The sequence below is a fragment of the Homo sapiens genome, chromosome 2 (genome assembly GCF_000001405.40).
Source record: "Homo sapiens chromosome 2, GRCh38.p14 Primary Assembly".
NCBI lineage: Eukaryota > Metazoa > Chordata > Mammalia > Primates > Hominidae > Homo > Homo sapiens.
The window spans coordinates 134,949,332-134,963,983 of NC_000002.12; the positions used below are offsets into that span (position 1 = coordinate 134,949,332).

At 38.0% G+C, this 14,652-nt stretch overlaps 1 protein-coding gene across 10 annotated transcripts in view; it reads left to right on the forward strand.

Annotated features, from left to right (window-relative positions):
• The window catches only part of CCNT2 (cyclin T2), a 40,521-nt gene extending 30,510 nt beyond the window's left edge, over positions 1 to 10,011 (forward strand). For 7 of the 10 annotated variants that reach the window (NR_135468.2, NM_001320748.2, NM_001320749.2 and 4 more), the window contains 2 exons: positions 3,310 to 3,380; positions 3,899 to 10,011. Coding sequence is in view for 8 of the 10 variants with exons in the window: in NM_001320748.2 (NP_001307677.1) it covers positions 3,310 to 3,380; positions 3,899 to 5,317 (1,490 nt within the window). In the remaining 2 variants the exon portion in view is untranslated. The remainder of the gene's footprint in view (positions 1 to 3,309; positions 3,381 to 3,898) is intronic. The other 3 variants (NR_037649.2, NM_001241.4, XM_017005228.3) reach the window with 1 other exon arrangement.

The window sequence follows — 14,652 nt, forward strand, 5'->3', positions numbered from 1 at the left end:
TTGTGAACTATAAGGTCTCTGTTGCAACTATACAACTATACCATTGCAGCCAGAAAGCAGCCATAGGCAATTTGTAACTGATTGGGTGTGACTGTGTTCCAGTAAAACTTTTGTTGACAAAAATAGGTGGCCAGCCATATTTGGCCAATTATCCATAGTTTGCCTGTTCTTATTTGTGAAATATGCTTCTTTGTTTCATCCTTTTCTATTTTGTTTTCCACCTGGAAAAAATTATCCCAGAATATATATCTCATGCTGTATTATTGCTGCATGATTATAATGTTTTTCTTAAATTGTTAGAGGCTTTTTCAGAGTTTATCCAGAGGAAAGGAAGTCTTCAATGAGTTGAAATGACATCTAAAACTCAGTGAGGGCTTATCTGTTCTATAGCTTGAAAAATCAGGTTATCTAGGTCATTGTTTTAGTTTAATAGTCACTAGATTAAGATTAGGTAGGCAAAATTTTTTTTTCGGGGGGGGGGTGGGGGACAGAGTCTCAGTCGCCCAGGCTATAGAGTGCGGTGGCGCAATCTCGGCTCGCTGCACCCTCCGCCTCCCGGGTTCAAGCAGTTCTCTGCCTCAGCCTCCTGAGTAGCTGGGATTACAGGTGCCTGCCACCACGCCTGGCTAATTTTTGTATTTTTAGTAGAGATAGGGTTTTCACCATGTTGGCCAGGCTGGTCTTGAACTCCTGACCTCATGATCCACCCACCTTGGCCTCAAAGTGTTAGGATTACAGGCGTGAACCACCACACCCAGCCAGTAGGCATAATCGTAATAAAAATAGTTTATATACCTGGTGCTGAAGTAAAAAGATCACAGAAAAGTAATCTGCCTTTTATCCTGTCTTTAGGTCAGAGGTTAGGTTGTGGTTTATGTGGGGTTTTTTGACACAGGAGGAGCTACCTCATTTCCATTCTGAAAAGTAAAGTTTGTTAATTTGGAGAGCAATTGAATAGGAATCTTGGAGAACTGATATGTTAAGACTTTCACCATGTTTTGCAGCAGCTTTTTTTTCTGTGTCAGTCACAAAAAGGCAATTCAAAATTAAAGACATGAAGGTGTGGCCGGGTGCAGTCACTCACATATCTTGAGCACAGGAGTTTGAGCCCAGCCTGAGCAACATGGCAAAACCACGTTTCTACTAAAAATACACACAAACCGGGCATGGTGGCGCACTCCTATAGACCCAACTACTGTGGAGGCTAAGGTGGGAGGATCACCTGAGCCTGAGACGTCAAGGTTGTAGTGAGCTGTGATAATGCTACTGCTCTCCAGCCTGGGCAACAGAGGAAACCCTGTCTGGGGGGAAAAAAAAAGACATGAAGATTTATCTGAATTGTAGAGTGAAGTGATACTACTATTCTTATTACTTACTGAAATAATTCACTTAATGATTGTGTTCCAGAAAAGAACATTGGCTTAGACAGTAGCTTTGAGAGAGAAGGGCCTCTATTTTAGGCACATACTGTGATTTTTGTGCATATAGCTAATTAATTATGTTAATGGATTATTTAACAGATTCTTTTGTTGTTCTGCTATAAAATTTAATACAGTAGGATACTTAAGAAAAACAAAGCTTACATTTTGTGTACGAGATTTTGGACCAGAACTTGAAGTGTATTTAATGTTTTACAACCAAGTTGTTAACAGAAATTGAGTCAAAACAGTTTTGTTAATGTTGGACCCAAAAGTAGAAAAATAGTCTTTTTTTTTTTCTTTTTTTTTCAAATGAGGAAGTAAAGGTCTGGGCATTAGGGTTTTTTTCATCCAAACTGGATGAAAAAGCTCATGAGACTTTAGCAGGGACTAGTCATGACATTGTCAAGGAAATTACATCTTGAAAGATTAATGGTTAAATTATAGCTTGTCTGAAGTGTCGATCTTAACATTGGCTTAGAATAGTTTACAAAAAAGCTTGCTATTACAAAATGAACCTGTAGTCTCTATTAATAGAGGTTCCCCCAGTATTGAGGTGGAATTGGCATTATTAATATTATATAATATTCTGATGTATTTGACTGATGAATATTTGAGAGTGGCTAGTAACTATTAATGACATTATTAGTTCATCAAAACCACACTACTTTGGAAAAGTGGGTCATTTGATTGTAATCAGAATTTTAAGAAAGTTGGTAGAAATTTACAATGAAGATAGTTTGCTAATATATTAATAGTGTTGATAGCTAGGAAGTATATTTGGAGGAATTTTCCCCTTTAAAAAAAAAGTCTGGGTGTGGTGGCTCACACCTGTAATTCCAGCACTTTGGGAGGCCAAGATAGGAGGATCACTTGAGGCCAGGAGTTTGAGACCAGCCTGGTCAACATAGCGAGACCCTGTCTCTGTTATTTAACAAAAAAAAGAAAGAAAGAAATGCAAAATATTGCATAGTTCCCTGTATACCCTTTAGCTTCTCCTGGTACTAACATCTTACATAACAATATATGATTATCAAAACTAGGAAGTTAACATTGGTACAATACTGTTAACTAAACCACAGATGTTATTCAGTATTCCATATTTTTCCCTATTCTAGGATCCCATGTTCCATTTAGTTGACATGTCCCTTCAAGTCTTCTCCAGTCTGTGACAGTTCTCCAATCTTTCCTTGTCTTTCATAACACTGACACTTAGGAGAATAATGGTCATTTTATACAGTGTTCCTTAGTTGGGGTTTGTCTGATGATTTCTCATTATTATGTCGAAGTTATCCATTTTGAGCAAGAATACCATAGAAGTAAATTGGGTCTTGCTTGGTGCATCATATCAAGGGGTACAGTATGTTGATACGTCTTATAACTGGTCATGACAACCGTGATCACTTGGTTACAGTGGTATCCTTAAAGTGGTTTCTGCACTTTAAAGTCACTATTTTTTTTCTCTTTGTAATTAATACATTTCATGGGGAAGATACGTTGGGATTATACAAATAACGTTTTTCCTCAAACTTTTGTCCACTAATTTTAAAGAATCTTTTGATAGATCTTGTCTGTGACAAAAATTATTGTGGTGTTTGCCTAATGAAGATTTTTTTTTTATTGGGGGGGTGATTATTTTTAATGCTACTAGATTTTCTAGAGATTCTAATTAAGCAAGTAAAATCAAGAGGGAAAGTAATCGTTACAAAAGGATTCAGCTTTGAAAATGCCGGTTGAGAGTTGTGTGTACTTCTGTGTATGCTGAGGATTTAATAGGAGGGTAAAAGTGAAGTAGATGAACTCCTAGCATTCCTTTTTAATACTGCCCACTTAAGAGAAATTTAAATCCTAAAGGCACCTTCTAAGTTTCAAATTTAAATTTTATTTTTAGAGCTAACACATGAGTTTCTACAAATATTGGAGAAAACGCCTAATAGGTTGAAGAAGATTCGAAACTGGAGGGTAAGAGAATTGACAGGGTTTAACAGAATTTCAGTCTTTTATGTAACATTTACATAGCTAACCAGTTTGAATTTTTGTGGTTAAATAATCTTTGCAGTATTCCTGAATAATTCAACGTATCTCAAGTTACATATACTCACATATTCAACTACTGAGTCCAGTGGACTTTGCTAAAGTACATTATACTTTTAAAAAATTTTTTGCAGTGATTATGACAAAAGTATCCTCTTCATTTTACAAATGGGGAAACTGAAGCCTAGACAAGTTAAATTACTTTCTGAAGTGCTGGGCTAGGATTTAACTTGTATCTGATTCTAAAATGGGTGTTTTCAATTTTTTATAGCCTTTTATGCCTCTAAGGCATTTATTTACTGACAACATAAAATCTTGAACCCCAGGTCATTTTATTTCCATATGTTTAATATATAATGTTTTTAATATATAACTTTTATAAGACAAGAAATTTGCATTAAATTATTTTGCTATATCACTGCTTCTTCTGTGTTTTATTTTAATAGGCTAATCAGGCAGCTAGGAAACCAAAAGTAGATGGACAGGTATCAGAGACACCACTTCTTGGTTCATCTTTGGTCCAGAATTCCATTTTAGTAGATAGTGTCACTGGTGTGCCTACAAACCCAAGTTTTCAGAAACCATCTACATCAGCATTCCCTGCGCCAGTACCTCTAAATTCAGGAAATATTTCTGTTCAAGACAGCCATACATCTGATAATTTGTCAATGCTAGCAACAGGAATGCCAAGTACTTCATACGGTTTATCATCACACCAGGAATGGCCTCAACATCAAGACTCAGCAAGGACAGAACAGCTATATTCACAGAAACAGGAGACATCTTTGTCTGGTAGCCAGTACAACATCAACTTCCAGCAGGGACCTTCTATATCACTGCATTCAGGATTACATCACAGACCTGACAAAATTTCAGATCATTCTTCTGTTAAGCAAGAATATACTCATAAAGCAGGGAGCAGTAAACACCATGGGCCAATTTCCACTACTCCAGGAATAATTCCTCAGAAAATGTCTTTAGATAAATATAGAGAAAAGCGTAAACTAGAAACTCTTGATCTCGATGTAAGGGATCATTATATAGCTGCCCAGGTAGAACAGCAGCACAAACAAGGGCAGTCACAGGCAGCCAGCAGCAGTTCTGTTACTTCTCCCATTAAAATGAAAATACCTATCGCAAATACTGAAAAATACATGGCAGACAAAAAGGAAAAGAGTGGGTCACTGAAATTACGGATTCCAATACCACCCACTGATAAAAGCGCCAGTAAAGAAGAACTGAAAATGAAAATAAAAGTTTCTTCTTCAGAAAGACACAGCTCTTCTGATGAAGGCAGTGGGAAGAGCAAACATTCAAGCCCACATATTAGCAGAGACCATAAGGAGAAGCACAAGGAGCATCCTTCAAGCCGCCACCACACCAGCAGCCACAAGCATTCCCACTCGCATAGTGGCAGCAGCAGCGGTGGCAGTAAACACAGTGCCGACGGAATACCACCCACTGTTCTGAGGAGTCCTGTTGGCCTGAGCAGTGATGGCATTTCCTCTAGCTCCAGCTCTTCAAGGAAGAGGCTGCATGTCAATGATGCATCTCACAACCACCACTCCAAAATGAGCAAAAGTTCCAAAAGTTCAGGTAGTTCATCTAGTTCTTCCTCCTCTGTTAAGCAGTATATATCCTCTCACAACTCTGTTTTTAACCATCCCTTACCCCCTCCTCCCCCTGTCACATACCAGGTGGGCTACGGACATCTCAGCACCCTCGTGAAACTGGACAAGAAGCCAGTGGAGACCAACGGTCCTGATGCCAATCACGAGTACAGTACAAGCAGCCAGCATATGGACTACAAAGACACATTCGACATGCTGGACTCACTGTTAAGTGCCCAAGGAATGAACATGTAATAATTTGTTTAGGTCAATTTTTCCTTTACTTTTTTAATTTAAAAATTGTTAGAATGGAAAAATTCCTTCTGATCTAGCAGTGGTAACCCCTGCTGTTGCTGCCACTGCTTCAATATTTGTAAGTGCTGCTTTATTCTTCATTCTGAAAAGAAGAGATTATAGTAAACAAGTCTTTATCTCCACATATGATAGTGTTATAAATACTGTAAAAGCATGGAAGGTGCAAAACTCAGTATTTCTACAATTGCAGCTAAGAACATTAGGATGAATGGCTGGCTGCTTCTAGGAATATAAGATGCCTCAAGCATTCATTATTTATGATTTGAATACTGTAGCTATTTTTTGTTGCTTGGCTTTTGAATGAGTGTAAATTGTTTTCTTTTGTGTATTTATACTTGTATGTATGATTTGCATGTTTCAATGATAAAGGGATAAAACAGTATACTGACAACTGTTTACAAGAAAGTGGAGAAAAATGTACATACATTTTTGTATGTTTAGATATTACCGTAAATACTCAGGATTGGAGCTGCTTGTAAGTATAACAATATACAGAATAACTTTATTTTATCTTGTCAGAGTCCATCACTAATCTAAAACAAAGGTGGCACTTTTTTATGTTAACCTTAAACTCTAGGCCTTACTGGAAGCCACTGATAGGGGACACTTCACTACCAGATGTGTGCAGTGCAACAGATGGTCATATACACTGTGAGGCACTGAAATTTTGCCTTCAGAGGTTCTGACCAGATTGGCTGCTGAAATAGCCCCTAACTTTCTGAAGGCTTGAAGAGGAAAAAATAAAGTTTACATACTCTTGATGTGAAGTGCATTTAAATGTTTGTTGGCTTGTTGCAGTTCTATGAAACAGAGCTGTTAATAATGGTTATGTGGATTACTGTGATTTGAAAACTAAATTCACAATAACTTACCTAGTAGAGATTTAGTGAGTTGTTTCCTTTAAAGAATTTTACACTACATATTTTAATAGTAAACAGGGATCACTTTTCCTTTAGCATTCAGAATGACACCATATTCTTAAATATACTCCTTCCCTGAAGCGTGTTTGTGTGTGATGCCATATTTCTTTTTCAGGTAAATGTAGTCTTCCTTATAAAAATGAAATTAAACCTATGCTCTCAATTCTTTTATATTCTAACAATAAATAAAAAAGAAAAGATTACTGACTGTGCATTGTACCTGTATTTATAGTTTATGGTTATCAGGAAGCTCTGTAAGAAAGAAAAGGTCAGCCTCCCAGGCAAACCAGTAGTGGAGGTTTTACATTTGTTTGCACATCTCAGTATATTTCTGTTGAGGTAAAGTTTGCACAGTCATCTGACTTCTGATCAAGCATTAGATTTTAACTTGTTTAGATTTTGTCTTAAACACCAGTAATATGGCTCTTGTTTATCAGCTAATCTTGAATTTATTCTGTGGTAAATCTTTTGAGTTGTTGAGTATATTTGAGATTGATTGGATTCGACCTCTTGTTGAACTGAAAACTTAATTTTTTCTCTGTATTTTTGTTACAAAGCCACTGATACGTGCACAATTGTAATTAAGTATGTTGCAGTTGTAAATATTAGAGTTTAATCTCATGCTCTACCTTTATTTAGCAATTACCTAATTTGCCAGTAGCTTTATAATTTTTAAAGATAATTGTTCATTATTTTGTCAATGTTATTTGAACTTGGGGTACTTAGGAGCCTCTTTGTAGGGACTGTGCCTAGGTAGCATGTCCTAACATTTGTTCTGGTCTTGCATAACTTCAGTAATCTTTGTCATTATATGTAACTTTGTTGCTCTGTATGGCATAATATTGTATCCATAAACATGGTAATTTTGATACAGTTATACTTTTACAGTGGTACATAATCCAAGGACTAGTATAGAATTAAGCTGAGTGCAAGATGAGGGAGGGAAGGGCTTTCTTGGTAATTTAGATGTGAAACCTCTACAGAGCTATCATGTAAAAACTACATAAGGTGGTTGTGCTACTGTATAATTGGGGGTGATAATACCAGGAATTTTAATAAGATTTTGTAAAGAATATCCAGAAAAGTAGTGAACTTATTTTCAGTAGACATAGAAAACAATGTGAATATTTAAGGTCTGTGACTATAGTTAAACTTCACTAAGAATTTGCAGAATTGTTTTGAGATGTGTGAATAAAGGTAATTTTATTGAATCTTCATTGGTGCTAATGATGGACAGTTAAAAAGATAGCTAGTGTATATTGTTATGGGTCAGTACTTATTAGTACTTCCAAAATTGAATTTGAAATGCTATGTATTCACTTTTCACTCTGTAAATGTAATTCTTTACAATGACTTTATTTATTAAAGGGCAGCCAGTTGTCATTTTTACAGGATTGTGTGAGCTATTCAAACTCTTCAACCCCTGAACAGGGTATTAAGCTTCCAAAATAATGATGGGGATAAATATGGAAATCCTTTTTAAGTTGTATTTCCATTAAACAAAAACCCTTATAATTCATACTATCATGAATTTGCTTTATCCATCTCATTTGCATAACAGTTCATCTGTCTGGTCCCATTAGGCTCTACCAAAGAAAGACTCTGATGAGTGGACATTATTACTGTGACTCTTGTAAGTAGCCATAAATAAACCAAAATAGTATCAAATTTAGGTATGAAATTCCACATGTGCAAAGTACTGTTAAGGTGATAACATTTTTGATGAGATTTAAAAAAATATTTGAAATATTAAAAAGCATTATCTTTAAACATCCTATAAAAGAGTGAGTCATTTTTAAGTTGTGTTTTCCCTAGATCACTGATTTGTTACCTTTACACAGAAGCACATTGCAAAGAAAGGCTTTATTTCTACCTCTTCCATTCAGTTTTCCAATATTGAGCTGTGTCCCTCTGAATATTTGCCTTAGCTATTTCAAAATAGGTATTTTCAGAACCAAAGCAAAGGGTGGTTTGTTCACTGAAACATTCTTAGAGGCCTACTTAACGGGCGGCAGTATCCGGTAGTGGTAAAACCTCACAGTTTCCTAATTGCAGGTATGTAAATACCAAAAAAGTCCTGTTGTCAGCCCTAGGTTTATCTTTGAAAGCAGTTAAATGTGCACCTTGGTCTTCCTCCGTGTGTTCAGATTCCTTCTGGTTAAAGTTCTTATTCAGAGTCATCTAAAAGAAATTTCTAACATGATGTATGGTTTCTTGAATGTCATGAGTGGCTGCGTATATTGCTTTGTAGCAACAGATTGTATTAATAATTAATAGAATACCTAATTTTTTTGGCCTATCCTCTTTGAACTAGAAATGACTACTTGAGGGCTATTTCAGAGAACCAATATGAAATGTTTTTGTTAGTACAAAATACCATTGCCTTAAAAGGTTTCAAGCACATTTTCTTTTCTATTTGAGAACTTAAATTGCTGACTTGTATTCGTTAAGCAACCTTAGAAATAAACCACTGCTTATATCTGCATGAATATTATGCATTTCATGAGTACAGTTAGTTGATTAGATATTTCAGGGTTTTGCATTTTCTATAGACATGGGGACTTTTTTAACATGGTAACGTCTTAGGAAAACCATTCTCTCAAGGTATTACACCATTTCCAATTTTATCCAAATGAAAAGCATATCTGCTTAAATTTAGGATGTCTTTGCTGAGAATATTTGGAGGCTCTTGTTAGGAAGAATCATGGATTCAGTATTTCTAACCTGATTACTGCCTCAGAGGCTGTCTTGAAGGGAGACAGTAGGATTCACTGACTACCTTTACCCAGATGAGGGATCAACAAATCTCACACTTAAACTAAATGAGTTGACAGGACAATAGGTGCTAATCTCATGTGCCCTAAGATGGACTTATTTAGATAGGGATTTTTGCATTGGAAAAGCAGCACATTCTCTGACCTTGGGTACCAAGCTATGATACTAATTTGAGAATCACATTCTGATACGTTAATATCAGAAATCAGTGAGCAACCTAATTGCTGTAAGCTGACATACATGGAAGCCGAAATCAAAAGGTTGCTTTTGTTAGTTTCCCTGGAGCATCTATTTTTGTAATACATTTTGCCAGTGGGACTGAAAAGCTCAAAATGTTTTAGACCTAATATCATACATTAATTTTCTGCTCTGCAGTGTCAATTTGGGCACAGCCAGTTTTTACCTCTGTGGCACCTTCTTTATAATTTACTGTTACCTATTCTGCCTGACAGATTGATTAAGTAGGTTGATAAGATCCATCGAAGATTGAATGGCTAGGAGTAATTCTGTTCTCGTATAGGCAACTTAACTTCACTGTGGAATCCATTTATCTCAAAGTTTGAGGGCTGTCTACTTTATTTTCAAGTTTGGGGCGGAAACTCAAAATCCCGAGCATTGCCACTTTAGTAGTTTGTTTGATTTGCCTATTGTTTAATAATGAGTACATTCTTATTAAGTGATGAGTACATTCTTAATTTTAAGGTATGTTTTTTTCAAGCAGCTTCATTTTATTAGGAAAAATACATACTCATTTGTTGTAAACAGTGATTGTGGGGTTTCATTTTCTGAATGTACTCAAAACTCCCAACAACAATTGAACAGGATGTTTGCTAATAGAAAATCTAAAACAGGAATATGTGTATATGGCATGAATTAGTCATTGACTTTAAGCTTCTTATCCATACAAGGAACTAATAAAATGTTTATTGACAACATAAATCCAAGGCTCTAACATGTCTTAAGTTAATGTGAATCAGAAGTAACTTTGAGGTGGGGCGCAGTGGCTCATGCCTGTAATCCCAGCACTTTGGGAGGCCAAGGCAGGCGGATAACCTGAGGTCAGGAGTTCAACACAACCCTGGTCAACATGGTGAAACCCTGTCTCTACTAAAAATACAAAAATTAGCCGGGTGTGGTGGTGCATGCCTGTAATCCCAGCTACTCGGGAGGCTGAGGCAAGAGAATCGCTTGAACCCAGGAGGCAGAGGTTGCAGAGAGCCCGAGATCGCACCACTGCACTCCAGCCTGGGCGACAGAGCAAGATTCCTTAACAACAACAAAAACAGAAGTAACTTTCAGTCCCTGGAAAATGTGAGATCTCTAGTATAATTGACCCTTTATCCAAGTAATTTCATGTATCATTCAGGAGTGCAGGCTCTGGGATCAAATGGTCCATGCTCTAGTCTCAGCCCTACCATTTAATAACAGAATGGCATTGGGTGAATTACTTGATCTCATGCTTTTTCTTCCCTACAAAGTGTTAGTAGTAGTACCTGTTCATCATAGAGTTGTGTAAGGCTTGGATGGTCAAGGAAGGCTAGATAGAATAGCATTAAAGAGAATCCTAATTGAGGGGTAGATGTGGGATATTGGAATGATGAAGGCCAATCCAGGTGTGTAACTGGAACATATTAAATACTGCATGCCCGCTGTGTCCAGAATTCTCTTAAGTTGTTCATTCTAATTTCTGTTTTAAGATTTTCTTGTCTAACCTCTTGCATCACTCCCATAAAAAGCACAAAGAATAGTTGCAGTACCCATTTAAAATTTTTTATTTTTTGAGACAAGTTCTCACTGTCAGCCAAGCTAGAGTACAGTACAGTGGTGTGATTTTTGGCTTACTATAGCCTCCGCCTCCCAGGCTCAAGCGATCATCCAACCTCAGCCTCCTGAGTAGCTGGGACTACAGGCATGTGCCACCATGCCCGGCTAATTTTGGGGGGTTTTTTTGTGGTTTTTTTGTTTGTTTTGTTTTGTTTTGTTTTGTTGTTGTTCTTGTGTTTGGTAGAACGGGGTTTTGATACGTTGCCCAGGGTGGTTTCAAACTCCTAGGCTCAAGCAATCCGCCCACCTTGGCCTGCAAAAGTGCTAGGATTACAGGTGTGAGCCACCATGCCCGGCCCCTTCAAAAATATTTAAGCATAAGCTGTTCTTTAATAAGGCTGCTCGCCAGCTTCCCTCTCCTTACCAGCAATTTCCCTGCACCTTCCACTTGAAAGAAAATGAAAGCTAATTGCAATAACTTTGATAAAGTAGAATTAGGATAGAAAAGTCGCTTCTTTTAAAATAGATTTTCAGGCCGGGTACGGTGGCTTATGCCTGTAATCCCAGCACTTTGGGAGTTTGAGGCCAAGGTGGGCGGGTCACCTGAGGTGAGGAGTTCGAGAACAGCCTGACCAACATGGCGAAACCCTGTCTCTACTAAAAAATACAAAAAAATTAGCTGGGCGTTGTGGTGCGCGCCTGTAGTCCCAGCTACTCAGGAGGCTGAGGCAGGAGAGAATCGCTTGAGCCTGGGAGGCAGAGGTTGCAGTGAGCCGAGATAGCGCCACTGCACTCCAGCCTAGGCGACAGAGCAAGACTCCATCTCAAAAAAAAAAAAATTTTTTTTTAATTAAAAATAAAACATTTTCAGCCTAAATGTAACATAAATATTTTTTGTATCACAGTTAAGAGATTTGTCTCACTGGTGCTGACACCAGTAAGGGCTTGTTCTATTAACATAATAAATTGGATGGGTTTTAACTTTACAAAGTGAGTAATTCCATCTAACCAAACTCATCTAAGTCCATTGTTTATTCCTTCACCCCTGCCCCCTGCACTTTTCAATATAATAAATTGTATGTTTTTATTTTAGCTGTAGCATATGGCCTGCCTATTCCTTCCCCTCAATACCACCTCCCAAAACAATGTAGGGCCTCACTGACAAAATATTTTTATTATATTGCCATGAAATTAAGAGGCTTACTTAGACCTTTCAAATGTTCAGACACAGTTGAGGAGGCCAGTTTTCTATAGTCTTTCACGTCAGCCTGTTAGTGACTGCTTTATGGATGAATTCAGCCATGGATTTTCATAATGTCGTGATGTCCTGTCAATAGGAGAAAGCACTATCCTCTATAAACTTGACAGTGTAATGGCATATACAAACTTTTTTTTAAACTTTATTACCAGTAGAGAGAGAGGCTGCTTACACCAGAGATTTTTTAATTGGCAGAATCACCTGGAAAGATTTTTAAAATGCAAGTTTCTGCATTTAAATAGCTGCTTTAAACTGAATTAATACTTGTAAGTGCAGCTCGTATGAAGAAGAAAGACGGCCTGGTAGGTGATGGTATGCAGCTTTTGGCTGCTCCTTGAGCAGATTAAGTGGGTTATTATCTTGGAGCTACTCATTACACAGTGTACGACTAAAGTAGGTTAAAGTTAAGGAGATGCTGTAGATCTACTTTTTAGAACTTGGGGGTTAAAATGTCTTTGGTTGAGCTTGGGCCCAGAGCATACAGGAATTTAGTACATAATAAGATGAGTTTTCAATGTGATTGAAAACTCAGCGGTTGTGCCTTGGGAAAAGGGTGATGCTCATGGAAGGGAGGACGGTATTACTGCTAGGTGAACAATGAAAAGCTTTTCACACCATTAAAGTACTCAAAATAATAAAGGGAGGACGATACTACCATCCCAATCAGCAGCTAGAATGAAATGATGTGCCTTTTTCTGCTAAAAGCTCAGTGAATGCTAGCCATCCCAGCCCCAACCTACCTCCACTCCCAACCTCCTTTCAGACCCTCTTCAAAAGGAAGAGAGCACACATATGGGCAGTGATAATGAAGAGTGTAATTCCAAACAATTGTTCATGTCTTAAACACAGTGAATAACAAAAACACAGAAGCTTTGAGGACCAAGGCTTGCCTATTGAAAACTTCAGCTTTTTTTTTTTTTTTTTTTTTGAGATGGAGTTTCGCTTTTGTTGCCCAGGCTGGAGTGCAGTAGTGTGATCTCGGCTCACTGCAACCTCTTCCTTCCAGGTTCAAGCGATTCTCCTGCCTCAGCCTCCCAAGTAATTGGGATTACAGGCACACGCCACCATGCCCAGCTAATTTTTTGTATTTTTAGTAGAGATGGGGTTTCAGCATGTTGGCCAGGCTGGTCTCCCAACTCCTGACCTCAAGTGATCCACCTGCCTCGGCCTCCCAAAGTGCTGGGATTACAGGGGTGAGCCACCCTGCCTGGCCAAAACTTCAGCTTTTTGAAGTTTCTGTTCAATATTCCAAAATTGTCTTCAGTACCCTTATATTTCAGTAGAATAGGAATAAACTTGTTAACACCAACTTCTTGTGTCCATTACGGTGATCTCTATACACAGTATTAACAGGTCTTACTCTTTGCCCTTTCCCCATAGGGTTTAACAGGCTTGATTGTAAATAGTTGCTTTAAAATCCAATATAATATTCAGATTTGAAAGAATGCTGAAGATCCCTCCAAAATGGAAAAGGAATAAGCCCTAACCTTTCAAAATTATGTTGTTTCTGGTCATGTTGAGATACAAGTAAGTAAAATAAAGGACATATTCTTCCCTTAATTTCTTAAATATGAAAAAAAAATTTGAGAAAAGTTATACCCACAAAGACTCATCTAATGTTACATGTCCAGAGTAAAATCTGTTTTTACCTCACCTGGACAGCATTTCACATTTATTTCATAAAAACTAAACCAGCTTTGTTTTGACAAATCCTGATACCAGTATTAGAATACTCCTAAAGTTAATTTTTAGTTGTACCAGCTTGAAATGACGGCAGCCAATAAAAATATCTGTGGCTATAGCTTAGAGCAATAGGTGCTGGCTGGGCGCGATGGCTCACGCCTGTAATCCCAACACTTTGGGAGGCCAAGGCGGGTGGATCATGAGGTCAGGAGTTCAAGACCAGCCTGGCCAAGATGGTGAAACCCCATCTCTACTAAAACTACACAAATTAGCCAGGCACAGTGGCAGGTCCCAGTAATCTCAGCTACTTGGCAGGCTGAGACAGGAAAATTGCTTGAACCCAGGTGGCAGAGGTTGCGGTGAGCCAAGATCACGCCACTGCACTCCAGCCTGGGCAACAGAGTGAGACTCCATCTCAAATAATAATAATAAAAAAAAAGAACAATAGGTGCGAAGTTTAGTGGATGAGTGAGATCAACAGCAATGGAAACCTTATAAAAAATGCTTAATCCTGGCTGGGCACGATGGCTCACGCCTGTAATCCCAGCACTTTGGGAGGCCAAGGCAGGTGGATCACTTGAGGTCTGGAGTTCAAGACAGCCTGGCCAACACAGTGAAACTCCATCTCGGCCAACATGGTGAAACCCCATTTCCACAAAAAATACAAAAATTAGCTGGGCGTGGTGGTGGGCAACTGTAATCCCAGCTACTTGGGAGGCTGAGGCAAAAGAATCACTTGAACCCAGCAGGCGGAGGTTGTTGCAGTGAGCCAAGATAACGCAACTGCACTCCAGCCTGGGCAGTAGAGTAAGACTCAGTCTAAAAAAAATATTGCTTAATCCACCAACTTAAAATGGCTTGTAATACTACTAACT